Here is a 26,454-nt window from a genome sequence, read left to right on the forward strand (position 1 = left end):
TCATTCATTGACTCATTTATTACTCTACAAACATTTATTGGATTCTTATTTGGGAAAAAAATGAGTAAGAAGTCCTGTCTCCAAGGATGTTCCTGTGGAAAGGAAGACACAGATATGTAAGGGGTTATCTAGAAACAGAATTTGATGAATGCTATAGAAGGATATGTGGGGGGTGGGGAGCGGACAGTGTGGCCATTTTTGCTTAGAGGAGTTGTGGAGGGCCCAAGAAAAGTTGTGAACTTTGAGCAGAATTGCAAAGAAAGAGCACACATTTTGCAACAGGGAGCAAAGAACGTGCTTTTATTCCTGGTAGAGATAATAGACTGTGCAGACAAGTCATAAATGGACAGGAGGCTCATTTTGGTTAGAGCTCAGGTTTTGTAAAAAATATGTTAGTCATGGGGGGTGCGATTAAAACAGCAAGTTTGGGCCAACTGTGAAGGATTGTGTTTGTTGCATTAGGTTTGGAATTCATCCTTAAGGCCATGGGAAGGAGGTGAGGGTTTAGAAAGTGAGTATGTGATACAATCAGATTTGTTTCTTTGGGAAATCGGAACTCTGGAAACTGTGGCAAAAAAGCAAGTGTCTATGGGGTTGGCTCCCAAATCAAAATCTACAGTTGACAATTTTCATCCAATCTACATTGCTAGCATGCAGCAGCATAACAGCTAATTAAATTAGCACCTATAATCACCTAGAAAGACATATCCATTGACTATTAGAGTCTAGAAGACGATCATAGAAGGGCAAAGTGCATTATCTGAGAATGACTGGTATAGATTGACACATTACATTTAATATAATTATATATCTCAAAAAGCAGAAATACCTATATTTTATACAATTCTGTATTAAATGAAAATACAAAATTTTATTTTTTATATTTGTTAAAAACACCACTTCATGGAAGTATAACTGACATGAAATAGCTGTACATATTTAATGTATATAACTTGATAAATTTGGAGATAAGTATACAACTACGAAACGATTACCATAATCTATACCATAAATAGAGGATATGAGATTTTGATGTTTGTAAAAAGGGGGTTTGCCTCTTGAAAGCCTGAAAAACATAGACAAGTGGGACAACACAGACAAGAGCTTCAGGTGCTGTGGGACTTGTTTTAGATCACTTACAGAGCCCTCAGGATGGATGCCAAGTGAAGTCTCTATTCTTCAATCAACTTCTTCATCTCCACTAGGCCAGTTCAATGTGCTGTTTATCTAGATAACTCAAATTTTTGGTTTTGTCCTCTAACTCTGCTGCCTTAATCTGCCACCAGGCTATGATGCCACGTCTCCTTCCTTCTGTCAACACTGATCATTTTTCAGCTCCTTAGTCCTTAAAAATATATGGATCACATACATTTCCAATTGAAGAGGATTGTTTCCTCCCCCTTGAAAAGTGGCATAGCTATCTCACACCAGTCAGAATGGTGATTATCAAAAAGTCAAGAAACAACAGATGCTGACAAGGCTGTGGAGGAATGGGAACACTTCTACACTCTTAGTTGGAATGTAAATTAGTTCAATCATTGTGGAAGACAGTGTGGCAATTCCTCAAGGATCTAGAACCAGACATACCATTTGACCCAGCAATCCCATTACTTGGTATATACCTAAAGGAATATAAGCCATTCTATAAATAGAATGCAGCACTATTCACAATAACAAAGATGTGGAATCAACCCAAATGCCCATCAGTGATGGACTGGATAAAGAAAATGTGGTACACACACACCGTGGAATACTATGTAGCGAAAAAAGGAATGAGATCATGTCCTTTGCAGGGACATGGATGGAGCTGGAAGCCATTATCCTCAGCAAACTAACACAGAAACAGAAAATCAAACACAGCATGTTCTCACTTATAAGTGGGAGCTGAACAATGAGAGCACATGGACACAGGGAGGGAAACAACACACCCTGGGGCCTGTTCGCGGGGTGAGAAGAAGGAGGACATCAGGAGAAATAGCTAATATATGCAGGGCTTAATACCTAGGTGACGGGTTGATAGGTTCGGCAAACCACCATAGCAGATGTTTACCTATGTAACAAGCCTGCATGTCCTGCACTGTATCCTGGAACTTAAAATAAAGTTAAGTTAAATTAAGAGAAAGAAAAGAAAAGTGGTGTAGTTCTTTATTATTTCTGAGTTATAACTTCTTTCAACCAAGGAGCCCCCACAAGTTGCATGACTGGTCAGTTCTCTGAACCAGTTTTCGTCTTGGTAAAATGGTTGTAAATGATTATTATCACCGTGGAGACTGCAAAGGTGATAGGACACAGGAGAGGGCAGTGGCTTCCTCTGTGTGAGATGACTGCTGTGGTGATGGATTCCGGACCAATGAAAGGTTCCTTTATGGTCCTCAAGGTCTTCCTTGGGTCCACTAGCTGAGATGTCTTTAAGTTTCTCTGACAAGTTACTTATAAAATGGCTGAGCTCACATTACTAGTGAGGTGTTTTGTTTCAGATTGTAACTAGGACTTTAAATGTGTCTCATGTATTTTTTGACTGCAATGGACATTCTGATTGGTGAGAGATGGTATCTCATTGTGGTTTTGATTTACATTTCTCTAACGATCAGTGATGCTGAGCATTTTTTCATATACTTGTGGCCTCATGTATGTCTTCTTTTGAAAAATGTCTGTTCATGTTGTTTGCCCATTTTTAAATGTGGTTGTTTGTGTTTTGCTTGTTGATTTGTTTAAGTTCCTTACAGATGCTGGGTGGGCATGAGACCTTTGTGGAATGAATAGCTTGCAAATATTTTCTCCCATTCTGTGGACTGTCTGTTTATTCTGTTGACAGTTTCTTTTGCTGCCCAGAAGCTCTTTAGTTTAATTATGTCCCACTTGTCTATTTTTGTTTCAATTGCTTTTGGAGACTGTCATAAAGTTTTTGAGGTTGCAGAGAAAAGGGAATGCTTATATACTGCTGGTGGGAATGTATATAAGTTAACCATTGTGGAAAGCAGTTTAGAGATTTCTCAAAGAACTTAAAACAGAGCTACTGTTCCACCCAGCATTCCCATTATTGGGTATATGCCCAAAGGAATATAAATCATGCTACCAAAAAGACACATGCATCTGTATGTTCATAAAGCAGATGTGGTACATATATGCCATGGAATACTACACAGCCATAAAAATGAAATCATGCCATTTGCAGCAACGTAGGTGGAGCCAGAGGCCATTATCCTAAGTGAATTAATGCAGGAACAGAAAACCAAATACCCTATGTTCTCACTTATAAGTGGGAACTAAACATTGAGTACACATAGACACAAGGAAGGGAACAACAGACATTGAGGCTTACTTGAAGGCAGAAGGTGGGCAGAGGATGAGGATACAAACATCTCACTATGCTCACTACCTGGTGATGGCATCATTTGTACACCAAACCCCAGTGACACACAGTTTACCCATGCAACAAACCTGCACATGTACTCCCTGAACTTAAAATAAAAGTTGAGAGAAGAGAACTAAAAATAAAATAAAAATAGATGTCTCTTATTTAAAGATGAGAAAGCCCAGCTCAAGGCTGACTAACAGAGAGGAGGAAAAGAGCTAGCTCACTTTCAGGCTCATATAGAAAGAGATGACATTTTGTTACTTTCTCTGTGGGAAAATTTTTATTTATAGCCATACCTTCCAGTGAAAATTTGTCCTGTCTGAACATCTACATCACTGCCAAGTGAATAGGATTCAGATATCGCTCCAAGCCTTTAGTTTCTATATTTACAACAAAATCTGCCCATAGCTGCCTGTTTACATTACTTTCATCCTAGCTGGGCTTTACAAATGCTGTAAATTAGGATTTGAAAAAAGGAGATAAGGAGTAAGAATAGGAAAACTGAAGTATGCCTACAAATTCTAGGTCTCTGAAGAACTTCTGAGGGTGTATGTTTTAAAAGACTAGAAGAGTTTTCAGAACTCCAGGCCTGCGTTCTGAAATAAATTTCTTTTCATATGCTTTTAAAAGTCCACCTTTCCTAAGTAATGCTTAGTTTTCATTAAAATGTAAATCAGTAGGGTTCTATATATAGGGGATTATTTCACATGACTTTTATTAACTTCAAATTTTATAATCACATTGAACACTTTGGTTTCATGATCACATCAGAATTTATTATATTTTATCCAGGAGTCAGTGCTTTGATCTGTGGGAATTTGTGATTTTGGGGATATAAAAAGTTAATTTTATATAGTCACAGTGACTAGGTGCTTTTTCTGCTGTGTAGTAATCCTTTAGATTACAAGTAAAGGTCGAGTGACAGTAATGGAAAAGAATTTGTGTTAGGTGGCAATTTTTACTGTGTGAGAAAATATATTCATCATGATATGGAGAATTCAGTTGTTACTGTGCTGAGTGTCTTAGGGATTAAACTAGTAACTTGGCAACTCCTGAGTCAATAATTTGCATTTTTTTCATTTCCGGTTAGTTTATTTTCTCCCAATAATCAAGAAAAAAATGCACACACACACACACACACACACACACACACATAAACACACACAGACACAGACTGTCTTCACCATGAAAATCCCAAGCAAGTAAACCACATGTATGTGGGAAACTGTCAACTAGAGCTCAGAAGATAGTGCTAAAAAATGGTTTCCAGGAACCAGTAGCTAGGAAAGCAGGGCCACTTATTCTTGCCCTTAAACTTATGTGACCTTGGTCTCTTTCCTCATCATCAGATGTGAATTTCTAATATTTTCCTCAATATTCTATTTTGATGCCTTGGCAGAATGTATTTCAAATTGTTAAAAATATTTGCCTCCTAAACTTCCCAAGTTCAAGTGCAGCCTACCTGGGTCCATGGCATTACCATTGGGTTTCATTGATGAGAATCCTCAGCATTGACTTCATGTTCCCCAGCTTCTCTTGCAGTGCTCAACTCTGAGCATGCTCCCCTGCCACTGCTTAGTCCGCCCTTCAGATCCCTCACCTTAATGGCTGTAATAAACTCATAACTGGTCTAGGAATCTTAATTTTAGTTCTTATATTCATCCAAACCATACTTAGTTTTTTTCTAAAAACTCAGCTTGGAGAGGTTGGATCTCCACAATGCCGTTCAATGCTTCTGCATAAAGTAAAACTTCTAAGTTATTCTAGGAACTCCTGGATGTGGCCTTAACATATTTTTGCCATATTTTAAACTATGTTTCTGCACAGCTATCTTTGAGCACATCTGTTTCTCAACATTTTCTAAAGGGATCAGATGGGACTTCATGGTTGCATGCCCTTCACTTCATTGCTGGGCCATCAGCTTCATCTTTAAACACTATCTCAAGTGCTTTCTGATACTTTACTTGATAATTTAAGTTGGAATTAATGCTAAAAATTGCTGTGGATATTTTAAAAGGTAAAGCTATGTGAAACAAAAAGAACAAACCCTATTTTTGTAAGGGAAAAACACTTTTCAAATTACATTTTATGGTTATCTTTTCTACTAAGAAGAATGATCTTCATGCTAGAAAAAATAGCATAGATAGGTTAGAAGAGAAATGATGTACAACGTGTAAATAATAGAGACAATTTGCATCCTTTTCATGAGAATATCTTCTTACCCAGGTAAATTACCTTCATCATGATAGAATAATTCAAGGTATTATTGAAGACCTATTGTTTAATCTTTATGTTGGATTATATGAATAGGATAATATTTCCAAATACTTACCAGATCATTCCCCCTCATTAAAATCATTCCATGGTTTTTAAAAATACATTATCATTACAATAAAGTCTTTCCTCATCTGCCTCCTTCTTATTTCTTATTTCTCAAAGCTTGTCTTCTGCTACTCTTCATATTCTTCTATGCCAAAATCTACTCCCATAGATCCAATGTCTATCTTAATTGTAGTAATTATTATACCATAATTTTTACTCAGTTCACTTGTCCTCCTCTATAAGGTCCCTAGAGTAGGGACTCCTCTTTTCTGTAGGCATGATGGAGAGAACCTGTGTTCTAGAGTTATATAGATCTAGGCTCCAGTCCTGGTTTTTTCTTTTACTATTAGCCTTGACTAAGATGGTCAGCCAAGTTGGTTTTGTTGAAAAAGAGGGGAGAATGATGGAACAGTCGTCCAGACAGTGACTAAGGAGATTTGCTGGCCTGCACATATCAAGGTGTGGTTGTATGATTACTGATTATGATTGTCCTTGGAATTAATGTATATCACTTCCTTAGAGGCTTTAAGAAGCGGGTGCCTTCTCTATGCTTTCCTCTCCTCCTCTTCCTAGATGAAAATGATTATGAGCCTGTAAATTGTGGAAAGGACCTTGTCTCTGAATCACTGCATAGAGGAGAGCTGTCTGATGACCAGGCATCCTTCAGCTTGGACTGTCATATATAAATGACAGATACTTCATTTTGTGTTTATTTCTTGCTTATATTTATAATAATTTATTTTGCGATATTATCTCCAAAGATGGCCACCAGTAATTTCTTCACTTTTGTATACACTTGTTTCACATCTTGATGTTTCACATCAAAGGGTAGAGCTGATTTCCCTGTTCTTGAATCTGTGTTAGCTTTGATTGGCTTTGACTAATAGGATGCAGCAGAAAAAAATGTTCTAAGTCAGGACACAAATGGTCTGGCACATTTCACTTCCTGCTTCTTGCAACCCAGACACCATACTGTGAGAAGCCCATGCCATGTGGAGAGACAACGTGGAGAAGAAGTGAGGCTCTCTGGTTGAGAACTCCAACTGACTTCCTAGACTACAGCCAGGGCAATTTTCTAGTATGGGAAAGAGCCAGCTCAGTCAAACCTTCGGAAAACTGCAGCCCATCAGGGATCACAGGGAGCAGTAGAACCCACCAGTCTACCCACAGAATCATGAGATAATATAAAGTAGCTGTTAATATGTACCAAAGATAGCTGAAATAGCTAGCTATTTTGCATATTTTATATATTTTGGCCAGTTAACCATTTGTGCCCAGTTTTTGAATAGGGAGCATGACTCTAAGTAATACACTTGTTTTGTGACACTGGTACAGTGACTTAACTCCTCTTAGCTCTCATTTTATGATCTATAAAATGGAAGGAAGAAACCCTATGAATTCATATCGTTGTTGTTATTGAATGAGACAATGATGGAGGGTTCCTTACCCAGTGCCTGGCATATGGTAGGCACTCAATTGAAGCGTATTTGAGTTAATACTACTCTTTGCTAAGTCATTAGAGAAGTGCTGAATTAGACAGAAAACCATTTAATCTCATTTGTATTTTAAAAATTAAAAATGATAGAATACATCTTAATTCTATACCTTATTCCTTGAAAGTAGATTTAAATTTTGTGATTTTATTTTGGGCTTCTTCAGCCAGCTCCTTTTTCATCTTTACATTCCTCTCCACATATTTTCCATTATGAATCCCACTCCTTTTTTTTTTTTTAATAACGCACCTATTCTTACATCTTAGTGGAAACACTGGGAAGATATTACTATTTTTTGCTTTTAATGTATATATTTTTTCAAATGCATTCTTCTTTTATGTTAAGTGTGGGATTATTCACATATCTCATACATAACTTTCCTACTTATTAATTCAACAAACAGTGTGCACCCACTGTGTGTTAGGCAGTAAATGAAATTTAATTTTCTTCTATACATACCTAATTCATCACTAGTCATTAGTTCTGTTTTTCAGATCAAGGTAAATTATAGTAAAACTATAATTTATAACAAACTATAGCCCATGGCCCAAATCTGGCCCACTGTCTGTTTTTGTAAATAAAGTTTTATTGGAACATAGCCACATGCATTTGTTTTCATATGGTCTAGGGTAGTTTTATGCTTCAATGCCAGAGTTGAATGGTTATGACAGAGTTGACTTAACCCACAAAGCCTAAAATATTTACTTCTGGACCTTTATAGAAAAAAAAAGTTCCAGCTCTTGACTTGTAGTAATATGAACAGTTTTGGTTGGCATATTTAAGAAATATTAATAAACTAGAGTTAGCTATTATGAGAATGAAATGTGTGAAAACTATGCTACACAGTAAAGTACGGAGAATTTTTAGTCTGGAAAAAAGGGCTTTTAAGGAGTTTATAAAATTCAAAAAAAGCAGATTAGGTTGATGCATACTACTTCCACTGACAACTGGTTTACTAAAGATTGGAGAAAAAAAGGGGAATATATTTAGAAAGGCAACTTGGAGTTCATTGGAAATATGAATACTTTTGGACTCAATAATTACACTATGAAATTAATCTGAGAGGGATATTTCTATACATGTAGAAAGAAACACCTTTGAGGATGTTGACTGGGGCTTTTGTTTATGATAACCAGAGCTGTGAAACAAGCTTAACAGAAATGGTTAAATAAAATATGGTGTACACACTCTCTATATATGCTATTTTAATTGAACAGATGCGGCCATTTAAAAGAATGAAGTAACAACATCAAAAAATGCTCATCATCACTGGCCATCAGAGAAATGCAAATCAAAACCACAATGAGATACCATCTCACACCAGTTAGAATGGTAATCATTAAAAAGTCAGGAAACAACAGGTGCTGGAGAGGATGTGGAGAAATAGGAACACTTTTACACTGTTGGTGGGACTGTAAACTAGTTCAACCATTGTGGAAATCAGTGTGGCGATTCCTCAGGGATCTAGAACTAGAAATACCATTTGACCCAGCCATCCCATTACTGGGTATATACCCAAAGGACTAGAAATCATGCTGCTATAAAGACACATGCACACGTATGTTTATTGCGGCACTATTCACAATAGCAAAGACTTGGAACCAACCCAAATGTCCAACAATGATAGACTGGATTAAGAAAATGTGGCACATATACACCATGGAATACTATGCAGCCATAAAAAATGATGAGTTCATGTCCTTTGTAGGGACATGGATGAAACTGGAAATCATCATTCTCAGTAAACTATCGCAAGAACAAAAAACCAAACCCGCATATTCTCACTCATAGGTGGGAATTGAACAATGAGATCACATGGACACAGGAAGGGGAACATCACACTCTGGGGACTGTTGTGGGGTGGGGGGAGGGGGAGGGATAGCAGTGGGAGGTATACCTAATGCTAGATGACGAGTTACTGGGTGCAGCGCACCAGCATGGCACATGTATGCATATGTAACTAACCTGCACATTGTGCACATGTACCCTAAAACTTAAAGTATAATAATAAAAAAAAAAGAGTGAAGTAGCTCTATATATTCAGTCCTAGAAAGGTTGTCAAGATATTATTCTCCAGGTCAATATATGATGATTCTACTTTTTAATTAAAAAATATATTATGTAAACATTTGCATATGTTGTTAAGACTAAATTAAACTACATGTGACAGCAAAATCTCAAATTATAGTGGCATCAGCAAGATAGAATTTATTGTTCTGTCGAAGTCCAGTCAGGGAATCCAGGGTTAGGGTAGTGAGAGCATCATGGCCTGAAGGAGCCAAGCTCCTTATTTCATTTCTTGTTGCTTGGCCTTGGTTGGCATCTGTGTTCCACACAGCACAATGAGGAGCTGGGTAGTGTTCAAGGAGATGGTTGATTATAAGTCACTTGTGGATTTAAAGGTTCCCATTGTGCAAAAGAAAAGCATAACTTGGTCACTGTGGAAGCTAAAAGACGAAGACAAGGTAAGAAGGTCATTTGTTAAGGAGGGTTTTTCTAACAGGAAGTGGTGGGCCACAGAATTTGAGAAATAATAAGTAAAAAAAGGCTACTAGAGATTCATAGACTAAAGACTAAAGCTAGAAGGAATGTCTGAAATTATCTGATTTGAATCAGTTGTTTTATATCTTTTATTACAATCTTCAAAGGCTAATAAGAGAAAAAAGAAAAAAAGTTAATATTCTAAAACTTGTGAAAGATAATCTTTTATGCCCAAAGTATCTTTAAAAAGGATGCATGTTTCTACAGTTTTTTATTTACTTATTTTTAGATTATCTAATATATTATTTTACTAATATATTATATACATTAGAAAATGTTCACCAAAAAGAAATTAATTAGGATTAACTTGAGTTAAATAAATAATATAAAAATATAATTAATTATGATGACTTCATATTATCTTGAGAAAAATTTATAATTAGGACAAGGTTCACTATTTTATATGCATATGCATATGTGTATGTGCATAGTATATGTATGTACCTATACTATAACTCAAATAGTCTTGTTGGTAATTAAGTTGTTTCCCCCCAATTCCCCATCAAATCTGTTAGGTCATCACTTTTCTCACCTGGATTTGTGGCTGAAGATGAACCTGTATCGAGAGTGGAAGAATTGGTTTTACCACTTGCCATAGTTCATTTGTGCTTGAATTATTGATATCTACTCAACTCAATTTACTTGCTACAGTCTTTTAAACTAGGGGCCTATTTTTAAAATTTTAATGTAGTTAACATTATGTATTTCATAAATCCATGCGTTTGTAATAATGGTTACTCTATAACCCACAGGGCCAGTGTGTTGTAATTTGGTGCTACAGAATGAAGAGGGTTCTGCTGTCATTCCCTGCATGCCATGGAATTTCTGTAGTTTTTCCCTGAGGCCACTTCATGTATTGGTTGGAACAAGTCACTCTCTGACATAGGGGCTAAGTGAGGGTATGAAATTTAATGTGTTATAAATATTGTCCAAACTTAATTTCTTTCTCTCTCTCTGTGAGATAAAAATGCATAGAAGTAAGTAGTCTAATACTCCATTCTCATATCCTATAAGCCAACTTCTTCCATCTCTAGAATGTATGCAACAGTTTTTCCAACTATAATCTTAAAATTACAGCTATAGTCTGTGTATCAGTAGGAGTTCATCCAAGAAGCAAAACCAGTAGATACATATTTTAAGGGGATTATGATGAGGAATTGGCTTACATAACTGTGCAGCTAGCTAAGCTTGTCCAGAGATCACAGGACAGGTAGTCAGGAAGGGAAGAGCCCCTGGGGCCTGGGTGAATGTTTAATAGGCAGGCAGTCAGGAAGGAAGATTCAAGGGAAATGGGGAGCAATTGCAGCTGCTGGTTGGGGTCTTTGGGTTTAGCGAAGACCTAAGCCATCTTTTGAGAGACTCACAACTGATTAAGTCAGGATCGCCCATTTAGGGGCTATTATCTTAAAGTCCCTAATTGAGTGGTCCTGACCTAATCAGGATAATCTCTTTATTGATGAACTTAAAGTCCTCTATTGGGGACTTTAAGTACATCTGCAGAATCCATTTACAATGGTACCTAGATTCATGTTTGGTTGAATACCTGGGAGAAGGTGTGCCTGCTAAAACCCTGCTGCTTCCTCTTCTGTCCTCCAACTCTTGTGAGACAACATCTCTTGTAGTTCATTCCAACCAGAAACATACCAGAAAGGGAATTCTGGGGCCTGTAGTTTAGCTTAGCTCAGTCTATGCCTCATAAAGCTATCACATTCCATTACTTCTAACAGATAGTTATCTACCAGGCCAATGCCATCTTACCTTGGAGTTGTATATTAGCTGTGAGGTCATGCAGTCTTTCTCTTGTACTTACTGTTCAATGAGCTAGTTTTTGCTATTGCAGTTATTAAAAAGCTGTATCATTTTCAGACAACTTTTATTTTGTCAGTGTGTGGCCCTTTTACCCCAAAGTTCTTTAAATAAATATGCTATAAGCAATTTATACTCCAACATTAATATTCCAAGCAAAGACACACTCACCTGCTACTCATCACAACAGGCACTAGTTATAAAATAGTATATGAAATGCCTGGAAATATGCATCTAATATGTTTTCCTTTGTATATGTGACCAAATGAGGAAGATGAAGCAAACATATCCTCTCTGACTATTCAGTCTGATGTAAACATGCACTTTTTAAACGTGTTTTTAAAGACTGTATTTAGCTTTTATTTTTTCTTCTTTTTTTTCTGTGCTATAACTTTAAGTGTACTTTGAATGCAAGATACAATAATGAGCCTCCATCCCCGGGTCAAAAATTTTGGTGACTAAAATGGTGCATAAGAAAGAATTGATCTTTGAGGTATGCCACCTCATTCCTTCTCTCCATCAGCCATCAGTCACGCCCTGCTTTCTTGACGCAGTAAACCTTTATGATAGTACATGTCAAGCATCTTGTATTTTCTCACAATAATTTATGTACACACTAAATTTATTTTCTTCCAACTTGCATTTTTATTACTTACATAAACTTATTTCCATTGTTCAATTATAAAAGTATTTGAATATCTTATGTTGGATGAAATATATTATGATTCTTCCCATTAAAATAAATGGAAATATTCTTATATAATTGTTTTTCACTTGGTGGCAGGGTTTTCAGGAATAAATTGAGGTTGGTTAGTGAGGGAAGATTGTATTGCATTTCTATTTAGAAATTCTATTTCCTGGGTCAAGTCAGTTATCCTTTCTCTGTTTAGTGGTTTCATCTATTTAAAAAAAGGAGCAGTACCTCATAAGGGTGTTATGACAAATGAGACCACACACATAAAGCATTGGCAAGATTTGATAAACAGTAATCCCTCAACCAATATTAGTTTAAAAATAATTCATTTAGGTGAAAACATATCCTTGGTAAAAAGAATACAATTAAATTTATAAGCCAGAGTAATGAAATATTTTATTGTTTACAAATGGAAGCATTCAGTGCTGAGGGTGGCTATTTTTCTCTTATGGAGGCATGCAATGGAGATCATAACTCTGATGGCATTTTCTGGCTCTGGCAATATACGCATTTTACACTGGAAGTCATACAAAGAAACCGTGTTTGCACTGAAAGAAATCTCAGAGATGACTTAGACCACAGTCCTCATTTCATAGGTTGGGAAGTAAAGACTCAGTGTTCAATGACTGATCTGAAATCACAGACGTAGTTGGTATCAGAATGTGGATAAAAAGGTAAAAGTCTTTTACCTTCCTAACTCTGACTCTAAACATTAGTTATCATACAGCAGGGAGAAAGGTATGAAACCCACGGCTTTCAACATTTTAGACTAAAAAAGAACCCCGAGGTTTTACTGGAAATAAATGTTCCTAGGACATTTTAAAAGACATTGATTTATATTTATTTATTTATTTATTTATTTATTTATTTATTTATTTATTTATTTATTTTCTTCTCCTTGAAATCTAGCTGTGGTTTTTCTCTTTTGAATGGATAAAGTGGCCAATTTCTTACTATTTCTTTTGTACAACCTTTGCTTGTTTTTAACCTAGACTCTTTGCTTTGTGTTGCTTGCTTTGTTAGGCATGGCAAGTAATAGAAGATGTGGGTTCTAATTTTAGAAGAAAATTATCCTTGGCAGGCATAAGGAACTAGAAATTTGGTGCTCAGGGAGCCAATTTTTAATCAAATAGGAAAATCAAAACATTTGAATTTAAAAGTGTCTGAATTTTCTGCCTCATTGATTTAAGTTTAAGAAGTTGGATGAGCTGAAGATAGTACATGCATAGTTCATTGGATTTGGGTTGAACTACTTTTACTTAGTATCTGAGACAATTTATTTTTCATTTAAATTGTTTTTATCTCTTAGAAAAATATACACAAGAAATAAAGAGGTTGGATATGGAGCATCATTAAAACTAATCTGCAAATTAACACCTGTATCTCTCATGGTGTTCACTGCAAATAATAATTTCCACTCTAGCTGTTTACAGCCTAAAGGGATTTATTATGGGATATAAGGTTGCTTATGTAATTTCCTGGAGTGTCAGATAACCAAGCGTGTATACTGTGCTATGACATGGGACTCTTCCAGTGGAATCCACTGTTGCCGCTGTACCTGCTTCTTGGCAACCAGAAAACTAGGGACTGAACCTTAAGAAAACCTCTTCTGCCACCACCATCACAGGAGACCACAGAAGAGCTTGAAGCCCATGGTGCCGACTTCCATCTTCCAAGTCTCAGCGGCTATATCTGCTTAGTAGATGTTAGTTCACATGCAAAATCCTTGCTTTAGGGGAGACTATGAAATACAGTTTGAAATTTTCTAGGCTCTAATCTTAGAAAGGCATACTGTGTTGGAATGGTGTTGACCTCAGCATGGTTGTTGAATGGTTATACAATACCATGTGCATGCTGTCTGGGAGAGAGTACGGGCCTCAGGAATTGGCTTTTTCATTCTCTATGATATGTTAGTATGGAAAAGTTTATAAGAATGTTAATATTATTTTGGAAAGGGAAGGGGATGAGGAACCAAGAAAATATATTTTGTATAAAATATGTTTTGAATGGTAATAGGAGAAAAATATGCTAAATTCAATTATGTAACTTGTATATTCAGTCAATTCTATTTTAATGCTAGAAGTATTAAGCAAGAGATTAGAATATAGGCAGTTCTTACTTTGCATAGTTCCAATATGCATGAATTTCAGTTACCATAGTCTAGTTAAGTAGCACTCACAGTATGGCTTAAACTTCAGTTACCACAGTATATTAACTATGCATAACCCCATAAAGTACACACTTCACTGCTAGCTCTTTAGTCCATGAATCACTACACAAATAAAAGATGATCAATGACCAATCACATCACTTCTTTTGAAATCTGCTGGTGATTGGTCACCATGCATCAGTTAAAAGGAGTAAGCATGTGGTTGTGTTGCTTCCTTGTCTTCAGTGATAAACCCACATGACATTTCGCAAAACTAGATAATAGGAAGTGGAAACTGACCAACAAAGATCAAAGTCCAGAGGAGAACAGAAAGTGACAAGGTAAAGAGTAAAGTTTGCATGAAAAGTAAATGGAATTTTAGAAGGTATAGATGTGGCCATCTCCACCGTGTATCCACCACGTGGACACTGCAATCAGGGGAACTTAGTGACCGAGAACTTACCGACATGAATGAGGAGAGTGGTTGTGACAAAAAGGATGATGATGTCCCAGAGGAAGTGATGCTGGCAAAAAACTTTACATTAGAGGAACTCTTGGAGATATTTCATGACATTGGAAGCATAAAGAATAGAGTTCAAAGCCCATCCAAACTTCGAAAAGATTATGATAATTCACCAAGACATAGCAAAGATACTCACTCCATGTTGTCAATTATCACATGAGAAGAAGGCAAGCACTGTTTAAACTACTTTTGGTAAGTTTTTATTTTTTCTTTTCTTAATGGTGGGGTGATTATAAGTAGGTTTTTTATTTCCTTTTAAAATTATGTATATTTAAGTGTACAACATAATCTTTTGATTAAATTATGTATATTTAGGTGTACAACATAATGTTTTGATATACATAGCGAAATGGTTACTACAGTCAAGCAAATCAACATATCATCATCTTACATAGTTACCATTTTTTTGTGTGTGTGATAAAAGCACCTAAAATCTATGCTCTTAGGAAATTTCCAGCTTACAATATTATCTTTATCCTCATGCTGGACATGAGGTATCTGGACTTACTCATCCTACATAACTACAAGTTTGTACCCTTTGACCTGCCACCCCCATCACATCTCCACCAACCACCATTCTACTCTCTATTTCTAGGTATTCAACATTTTTTAGATTCCATATATAAGTTAGATCATGTAGTATTTTTCTTTCTGTGTCTGGCTTATGTCACTTAGAATAATGTCCTCCTCTGCCGGGTGCGGTGGCTCACGCCTGTAATCCCAGCACTTTGGGAGGCCGAGGCGGGCGGATCACGAGGTCAGGAGATCGAGACCATCCCGGCTAAAACGGTGAAACCCCGTCTCTACTAAAAATACAAAAAATTAGCCGGGCGTAGTGGCGGGCGCCTGTAGTCCCAGCTACTCGGGAGGCTGAGGCAGGAGAATGGCGTGAACCCGGGAGGCGGAGCTTGCAGTGAGCCGAGATCCCGCCACTGCACTCCAGCCTGGGCGACAGAGCGAGACTCCGTCTCAAAAAAAAAAAAAAAAAAAAAAAAAGAATAATGTCCTCCTCCTGATCCATGCATTTTGTGACAAATGGCAGGATTTGTTCTAAGCTGAATAATATTGCATTATGTATAGCATAATTTCTTTATCCACCCATTGATGGACACTCAGGTTGTTTCCAAATTTTGGGTATTAGGAATAATGCTGCAATAGACAATGGAATGCAGATTTATCTCTATGAGATGTTGACTTAATTTCCTTTGAGTATATACCCAGAAAAGGAATTGCTGAAGTTGTTTTATTTGTTTTTGTTTGTTTGTTTTTACAAAGAAATAACATTCTCCATGTTTCTGTTTCAAATAAATAGTAGCTTAACTAATTTTTTATTTCCATATGCATTTATAATAAGCAGTAAGAAAGTTTTTTATTTTTTTATTATGATACTTTAAGTTCTGGGATACATGTGCAGAACATGCAGGTTTGTTACATAGGTATACATGTGCAATGGTGGTTTGCTGCACCCATCAACCCGTCATCTAGGTATTAGGTATTTGTCCTAATGCTTTCCCTCTCCTTGCCTCCTACCCTGTGACAGGCCCTGGCGTGTGATGTTCCCCTCCCTGTGTCCATGTGTTATCATTGTTTAACTCCCGCTTATGAGTGAGAACATGTGGTGTTTGGTTTTCTGTTCCTGTGTGTGTTTTCTGAGAAAGATGGCTTCCAGCTTCATCCATGTCCCTGCAAAGGACATGAACTCATTCTTTTTTATGACTGCATAGTATTCCATGGTGTATATGTGCCACATTTTCTTTACCCATCCTATCAGTGATGGGCTTTTGGGTTGGTTCCAGGTCTTTGCTATTGTAAATGGTGCTGCAATAAACATATGTGTGCATGTGTCTTTATAGTAGAATGATTTATAATCCTTTGGGTATATACTCAGTAATGGGATTGTTGGGTCAAATGGTGTTTCTGGTTCTGGATCCTTGAGGAATCATGATACTGTCTTCCACAATGGTTGAACTAATTTACACTCCCACCAACAGTGTAAAAGTGTTCCTATTGCTCCACATTCTCTCCAGCATCTGTTGTTTCCTGACTTTTTAATGATTGCCATTCTAACTGGCATGAGATGGTATCTCATTGTGGTTTTGATTTGCATTTCTCTAATGACCAGTGATGATGAGCTTTTTTTCATATGTTTGATGGCTGCATAAATGTCTTCTTTTGAGAATTTTCTGTTCATATCTTTCACCCCAACGTTTTAAAAGTCATGGAACAATCATAATTTTTTACATTGATTATTAAGATTACGTTGCATGGTTTCAGGTTGTATGTTTATTTATACTCTCCATACCAATATGCAGAAAAAGGACTATCTGTTTGTAAAATAAGGGCAACCAAACATTCCCTATTTTCACCTTGAAAGACAACTTTCTGGCTAAGATGTTAGATGTGTGTTACAATTTAAGACACAATCTTAGACGTCATGGAGTCATTGCTTGTCCATACAGCATTTTAATGTAAAGTAGAAAAAAATCTCTTTATGAAGACAGTTTATTTCTATTGGTCAGAAAATGCATCTATGATGGTTGCAACAGAAATGGTGTGTTTTTAGATGTAGCTCTGCTGTGCTCTCTGCAGCCTGATGAGGGTGGTGGCCGTGGACTGGTTTCAGGGTGTCTCCGTCCAGCTTACAAAGATAACCACGCACAGCAACTGAGCCACAGGAGCTGAGGAGTGGTATATCACTGTTACTGAGCCAACAGGAAAAGCTTCAAGATGACACAGGTGTTCATCAGTGTCTCAAAGGTTAACAACCAGGGCCAGGATTAAGGAGAGGCAAGTGAGGAGTAGTCATGCTAATCCTATTTTGATTCCAATTTTTGATATTTTGTGAATCATGAATTTTTTGCATTAATTTTGATTTTAAAATATATTTGGTATTTACCCAAAGGAGCTGAAAACTTATAACCACACAAAAACTCGCACATAAATGTTTATAGCAGCTTTATCCATAATTGCCAAAACTTGGAAGTACACAAGATGTCCTTCAGTAGATAAATGTATAAAACAACTGTAGTATATCCAAACAATGAAATATTCAGTGCTAAAAAGAAATGAGCTATCCAGCTATGGAAAGACATGGAGGAAACTTAAATACATGTTACTGAGTGAAAGAAGCCAATCTAAAAAGGCTATATGCCGTAATTCCAACTATATGACATTCTGGAAAAGGCAAAACTATGGACACAGTAAAAGAATCGGTGGTTGCCAAGGGTTACAGGAGAGGGAGGAATGAACAGGTGGAACATAGGGGACTTTTAGGGCAGTTAAACTACTCTGTATGATACTATAAGGGTGGATGCATGCCATTATACGTGTGTCTAGACACGGAGAATGAACCACACCAAGAGTGAGCCCTTGTGTAAATTCTGAACTGTGGGTGCTCATGATGTATCAATTGTAAGCCTTGTACCATTCCAGTGGGGGGATGTTGTTAATGGGGGAGGCTGCGCATGCGTGTAGGCAGGGGCCTGTGGGCTATCCCTGTACCTGCAACATTGCTTCGATTCAATATTGCTATGAACCTAAAACTCCTCTAAAGAATCAAGTTTATTAACAATATTACATTACAATGTTATTGATTTTGATTACTAAGTGTTTGCGTATCCTCTTCTAAATTTGGTACACAATGTGGCCCACTCACTTAATCCGATTCACGCCCTGGAACTTCATGAGGCAATTTTACCCTTGGAACTGCTGATTCACTATAAAAAGCAAGAGAGATAGCATGGCCAGGACTCAAGCACTGGAGGGTGAGAAGAATTCTGATTATTTTTTTCCTAATATGCTTTTGTTGCCATCACTTTAAAATATAGGAAGTAATTGTGGCTCAATTTTTTTTTTGCTGCAAATGGCAGGAAACTGTGTATTAGCATCTGAACAGCTGTCAGAGTATGGGCATTTGAGTGTGATTTTATGACAAGCTGAATAATATTTTTGTAGGTGTTTAGAAATTCAGATATAGATGGACACATAGGTAGGACTGCTGGATTTAGCAAGTGAAAATGCAGGATATCCAGTTAAATCTAGATTTTTGACAAACAATAAAGAATATTTTAGTAGAATCATACCTCATGAAATATTTGGGAGAGACTTAGACTAAAAGAATCATTGTTTTTCTGAAAGTGAAATTTAGCTGTGGGTCCTGTATTTTATCTAACAATCCTATACCTTGTGCAATTGCAGTTGTTTGGGGAAGGTTAATTCCTATCTTTTGCTTTAGTTATTGCTGCAATGTATAGACCTCAATATGTTATCACCTTGAGTGTGAGTGATTTTTTTTTTAACAGTAAATTTCTTTATATGCTAACTTCTATGTCTTTGAACAAAATAGCTTCTTTCAATTGGGTGTCCTCCTCTTTTTCTCTTTTCTTATTATTGTGATTTCTCTCCCTCTTTGGACTTTGAGCACATAAAGGTTAGGTTACCAGGTTTCAGCTTTTTTTGTTGTTGTTGTTTGTTTGTTTTGTTTGAGACGGAGTCTCGCTCTGTCGCCCAGGCTGGAGTGCAGTGGTGCGAGCTCACTGCAACCTCCACCTCCCAGGTTCAAGCGATTCTCCTGCCTCCCTAGTAGTTGGGACTACAGGTGCACGCCACCACGCCCAGCTAATTTTTGTATTTTTAGTAGAGACGGCATTTCACCATATTGGTCAGGCTGGTCTTGAACTCCTGACCTCGTGATCCGCCCCCCTCGGCCTCCCAAAGTGCTGGGATTGCAGGCGTGAGTCACCGCGCCCGGCCTCCTGGGGTCAGCTTTTATGTTTTCATCTAATTTCTTTGACAGTTAAGAGCTGAAAGGGAAGCCACATGAGACCAACATATGAAACGCAGCGCTCACATCACATTCAAAGTCGTTTGCTCCCTCATGCCTGAGATCATCAGTATGGAATTACTTCATTTCAAGCAGCTTTTCTTTTTTAGTCCATGTAATCATGCCGATCTCACTATTGTTTTTAAGTTAAGGCAGATCATCTATCCATCCATCCACTTTTACACATAATCATATTTAGTATGTATATACTATTAACTGGAAGGCTAATAGCTAATCCAGTATTCAAACAGTGGCAGAGTTAGGAAAATTGCCTTATGTTAACCACAGTGATTTACCCTTTCTGCTTTTATCAGAGAAATCCTGTATTTTAAAAATATATTTTCTACCTTCTCGTTTGTTTTTGAAATTGGTTATTTCCTTTGCTTTTAAATTTTCTTAATTCGAGAGCCAGTGCAAGGCATGGCATGAATTTGGGGAAGCCTGTCGTGCCGACATTCCTTCCCTGGCTGACCCTCCTGCCCAAGTTCCCAGGCACCTTCCCTGCCTGGTAGGAGACTCACACCCTTTCTAATCTTTGTAGACTTATACTTGCCATTTAAATACAGAACACTGGAAATAGCCAACCTTCTGTCTTGCACATCTCCTCTGATATTTAAATCATGGGAGAGAAGTCACTCTTTTTTTTTTTTTGAGACGGAGTCTCGCTCTGTCTCCCAGGCTGGAGTGCAGTGGCGCGATCTCGGCTCACTGCAAGCTCCGCCTCCCGGGTTCATGCCATTCTTTCTTCTCAGCCTCCCCAGCAGCTGGGACTACAGGGGCCCGCCGCCACGCCTGGCTAATTTTTTTGTATTTTTAGTAGAGACGGGGTTTCACCGCGTTAGCCAGGATGGTCTCGATCTCCCGACCTCGTGATCCGCCCGCCTCCTCTTCCCAAAATGCTGGGATTACAGGCGTGAGCCACCGTGCCCGGCCGAGAAGTCACTTTTTTCCTGCGCCGGATGGATTTGTGGCCTGAGTTTCATATCCTTTGGGCCCAGGGAGTCACTGGGCAACTTTGGCGGACTGATAAAGTATCTTGCACAGAGAAGAATCAGCACACAATATTTAAAGACCCCTGGATCCAAAAACTCTGGCAACCTGCCAGGCACAACGATAGGTGCTAACGATACAACTGTGAATCTTTTGGTTTTAAAGGGTTTTGCATGATTGTGGGAGAGAAGCATACATAAGTAATTTTACTCCAGTGTTATTTAATGCTAGTGTTATTCATGGAGAATTATCTGAGTTGAAGTAGGAGTTAAAGGTAATCTTTTCAAGCAAGGATTGAAAGAAGCTTATGGCAGTACAGGCCAGTGGTTTGGTTAAAGTTTCGCCTTGCACTGTTGGGTGTTTCTTGACTCATATCGACGCTTCACGCACTGGGAATGTTGATTTGAGATCGAATTGCTTTGGCTGCTAAGTATCAAGAGGATGGAGTGAATTCCAAATATGAGAACTAAAGAAGCTTCTGTCTGTAACCATGGCCCTTCTCAATATTTAGGTATTAGAAATAGATCTCCAGCTAAGAAGAGGTTAGTTGTGAGATAGATTAGATCTGGCAGGGAACACTCGGGGTTGGCAGGCTTCCCAGCAGTTGCGGAGTTTGGGAGCCGAGCACAAATGTCCCACCAAGCTAAACACTAAGGACATGCCACATTTCCATTGTCTGCCAGCAGTAAAAGTCAATGAGCTTTGGAGGGAGGTTATTCCAGATTCCTGGACGTCCTTACAACAACAGCTATCAAATGTGAATAATTTCTCTCTTCAAAAATCATATTTTTTTCTTTTTCAGAGCAAAACTCTGGCAATTTTCAAAACCTCTTTTTCCCCCAAGTAAGAGATTAAAAAAAATGAAGCAGATAAAATATATGGCATATGAAGGCTTAAGATCCTAAAGTATTTAATGGCTTTTCCTAAAACTGAAATCTTATTTAAAAGAAAGTTGGAGTCTTGGGATAAGGGCTGCCTTCACAGTCCCCGCAGGGGTAATTTAACTCCTGTATGAACCTGACTTTGGGGTCCTGGGGACTTGGTAGTGAATTGTTTTCACACTAACTCAGGCTCCACTGTGGTGCTGGCTGCTCTGGAGTTGGAGCCTACCGGAGTGTGAGGAGATCCTGCTCTTTCTGGGTCAATTCAATTCCATTCAATTCAAGAAATGTTTATTGCTTATTCCTACGTGCATTTAAAATAATTGGGGTGGTGAATTTTTTGAGGGAAGGGGACTTATTCAGTGACCTTTAATTCACATCTTACAAGTTGTATCTTTGAAAATGACTATCTTGATTGTGATTTGTTTTGAAGTACTTTGGCATCATCAGTCGAATGCACACACACTTCCCACTTCAAACACTCACAGAGAGTATACTTTATACCCTAGGAGCAATTGATGAACACGTGTAGTACTCTAATCAGGAATATACACCTTAGAAGTGTTTGGTTAACATTTGAAAAATTAATTGAGGCCCAGGAAGTCTCCAGAGGTGGCTGATAATAGGGTGCCAGCTAACTATCTCTGATCAATTCCACAAGGTGAAAAATTTTGCATAGCAGATGTTGGTGAAATAATTCTCATTTAAGAAATGTGATTTGGCGGGAGATATTCTGCAGCTGTGATCCGCCTTGTGTGAGCAGCACGTAAGACTCTCGCCAGCTTAATACCTTTTCTGGATAACGCTGTAGACTAGGATTTGGATTAGTTCTGTAGACAAATGCATGGATTTTGCTGTTTGATTCTGACTACCCTGTTAGCTGAATTTCATTGCAAAAATATTGTCCGATCTGCTTCAAAAGAACCTATTAGGCAAAGTAGGGTCCTCGTGCTCTACAGTCAAAGTAAACACTTGACTTGGTTTTCAGAACAGGTATATGACTGTCCATAGAACTATTTTTGCCTCTTTGAGTGGATGGCTGAATTCAGTTGGCTAAATTCATTCTTTTATTGTAAACCCTTCTGTGGTTGTAACATGTCGGAGATAACCCCAATAGCCCTCATCTGACTCTTTCTGTTGGCGTCCAGCAATGTCTACCAATAAAAGAATTTGATATTCACAAATGCCTCCGTCAGTTCCCACCAGTGTGTTTGCTGTGGCAACAAATTCTTGATGAAATTTTCTCCTTCAGTAGCACCAAAAAGGAAGGCCTTTGCTAATTAGGAGGAAGATGACTGGAGAATATAATGTGGTATATGTCTAATTATTTTTTCTTTACCTTTAGCTAGAACTTCTAAAAGGTATTTAGTGTTTGAAGCATTTTCAAAAGAATTTTCCCTTTTAATGCTTTATCTACCATAACACCTTTTTTTTTTTTTTTTCTGGGAGCAATGTCAGAGAAGGGTATTTTGAAAGAAAATTCTGTTGCAGTGATTAAAAGAAACACTCACAGCTTTCAAAAGTGGTTATTTGTGGAAGAGACCTAGTGCTTAAAGGGAGGTCAAGCAGAGGATGGAAAATAGATCCCCCAAACCTATGCAAAGGGTACATTCAAAAACCTTAACCATAGTTTAAATTTACATAGTAGACATTTATTTAGTGCTGAAATCAAATGAAATTTTGCAGACTTACGTGAAAATCTGAACATTTGCTTGTAGGTTCTCCAAAATTAGTGCAATAGTAACACTAAAGAACATCTAGAAAAGCAAACTTGTTAGTCAAGTAATTAAGCCACTGAGAAAAGAATGGAAGAAAATTGTTTGGCTAAAATATATTTGTCTATCCAGAGTTCTCCCCTTTTTTGCCTACATTTTGTTTTGCCGGGGAGCACTATGAGTTTCCAGGAAACAATTTGCGTTACAATCTTCCCTTCTCTTGCTTGAGTATGCTGCTCATGCTCTAAGACCAGTAAAGAGGAAATGACATACTATGTGTGCTTTCATTCCTTCCAGAAAATAAATTTTATTGGCACATATAGCTTGCACATAACACATTTGCAACCACTTCATTTGTTGGAACCAGGTAATAAAAGTGAGATTTCCTTTAACAAATGATATTCTGACATTCATAAAAATGAAGTAATGAGATCAGTCGGCCAGCTTAGGAGAAGGCCACATGCCAAATGATATAAGTTTAAATAACATAAAGTGCAATGTCAAAGTAGTTGAAGTAGTAATATGCAAATTTCCACTCAAAAGGTAGGAAGAGGAAGACAATTCTTCTTACTGTGAAGTACCTGAAAGAGCCCAGGCTCTACACGACTAGATTAGCTTGAATATGGCCAATAAAAACCAACAGTTAGTACAATCTAAATTGCATTGAATAATTTGCATCAAATTGAGACTCAGAGAAAAATAATTCTACAGGAACCATTATGAAAGAGGAAAAACTATCCTTTGTTTTTTAAATGGTGCAAATTTAAATAAGTTCTATAACCTCAGGATAGAAGATAGCTAGACTAATAAAATATTGGTTTAACAATAAGTCAAGTTCAAATACATGAATGAATCTGATTCTACAATTTTCTTTTACCTACACTGATGTCATTTTGGCCTTTACTTCATGATCTTGAAACTATATCGTTAGAATGAAATAGTGGAAAGTAGAAAATATTATATGCTGCTTTTTACACAAAGCTTTTTATCAATTTTCTTTATTTTCTCTTTCTGCTAATACAGTGGTAAAGGCAAGGTGATTCCAAAAACAATGGCTCACTCATAATTGAATGATTTTTTTTTAATCAACACAGAATGGACAACAACTAAAGGTCAATAACGCTAGAGATAAAGCAGCGTATAATTTATGGATCTCTGTAATGCCCTATGAGATGGTTGTGATACAAACACAGATTTGTTTATTCTTTTTAGTTTCTCTTACTGCTTTCTCTCTGGGTCACCTTCTATCTTTTAAAATCAAACACCAAATTAAAATTATTAATTTTAAAAATAGTATAATTACAACATAATATGAAGATACTGCCATAAATGCTCCACATCATGACAGTCAAAGCTCATTAGGGATGATTTTTAATCTTTGTGTTTCAGCGCTTCCCTCTACAAGCCAATATAGTTGACGGTTTTCAAGTGCAAATGAGTAAAAGGAGGTGATTTGTGTATAATAATTAAATTTTAGAACTAAAAGGAGATTTACAGTTCATCTACTCCAATCTTTTTACTTCATATTTGAAAGTGAAGTGAAAGAGGGAGGGCTGTGTAGGTTACATGTGTTGTCCATGGGAAAACAGGTCTTAGGCTTCTATTGGGTTGCTCCTTCCCCTAACGTATTCAATTAGCTTCTTGTGTCCAATAAACCTAAAAGCCCTTTAAATACTTTGGTCCTTGGCTGTCCCCTATTCCTCCATCTGTGTGGGCATCTGTTCTACATGTTTTGTGCTCCTTCCCAGGGATGTGAATCCTGATTTCCCATCTGACTCACTATCTCTAAGCTGGCCAATCCACTCACTCGCTCAAGGGGTGGAGTCCTAAGAGTCACTTGGCTCAGAGGAGAGCAGTGGCCATGATTTCTGCCGGTACTACTAATTACGCGTGCCCCATGGCTCATGCTCATGTGGATACACACTAGTTCTATTATTTCATCATTGAAAAACATTACTTAAAATAATTATTTAAGTGGTATGGAGTTTTGCTAGTCTCAAATGCAAGGAGCTTTTCCATATTTATTTGTAGATCAATGCATTTTTATAATTATACTGAAAAAAATTCCAAACAATGCATAAATCCAAACCTTAATTTTGAAAGAGCCTGATTAAAGATATAATCTGAAAGATAAAATTAGCTAGAGAGAAGTTTTTAATTAAGAATATTTTGGCCTCAGATGTTTTGATGAGTTTTTAATCTTTATCCTCTTAGGAGATGAAAGAAGTATAAGGCTTTTGGAAGAACAGGAGCATATATTATGAGATATCATATTTGATTAGCTTTTTATTTGCAGGGCAATAGCAATAAAAAATTATGCTTGCCTAGCTATAGACAGCAAGCATTAGGAAACTATTTTTTTCCATATTTCTCCCCCCCCTTTTTTTTAGTATACTCTCTTTTCCAGATTTTGATATTAGAGTGTGCCAGCTTTATAAAATAAATTTATATTTCTTCACTTCTACCTTAATGAGGAGACTACAGAAAAGAGGAACAATCCAGATTCTAGGAAATACACCAACTTTGAACTCTCTTATATACATTTATTCCCTGCTATTCAAATCTATTCAGTTTCTAAATTGGGAGAGTGAGGATTCCAATAGTAATTCGGAAAGCAGGGAGCATTCTGATTCAGCTATTCAGGGCCCAAATTTTAGATACCAAGTTGTCAGAGTTTTGAAATTGATGTGTAACTTTTCTCCAAACAGTCCTATCTCACCAATTTTATCTGAATCTCTTCTGTTGCTAAGTTTGGGGAGTGAGAGTTTTAACAGAAAATATTACTTGTATTTTTGAGCCTATAAAGTTAGACAATTCCACTATTGGGCTTCCCAAGAACACCAGGCATTTTTATCCTCAATCTTCTTGAAAGATGGATTTGGGAGAAGGACATCAGCAGGAACAGATTAATAAAAACATCTCTGCACTCTGGGGTGATTTGCTTCTAGACTTTAAAGCATGAAGGTATCTGTAGTGGACCCAGGAAAGAGGGTGTTGGGCATGGAAACAGTGATATGGCTCTGTTCAAGTGGTGGTGGCTGCTGGGTGTGTGTGTGTGACAGAGAGAGAGAGAGAGACAGAGAGAGAGAGAGAGGGAGAGAGAGAGAGAGAGAGAGAGATTGAGAGACAAAGGAAAGAGTTGTGTCCATGAAAGATGGGA

This window comes from Homo sapiens, chromosome 5 (genome assembly GCF_000001405.40).
Source record: "Homo sapiens chromosome 5, GRCh38.p14 Primary Assembly".
NCBI classification, from domain to species: Eukaryota; Metazoa; Chordata; class Mammalia; order Primates; family Hominidae; genus Homo; species Homo sapiens.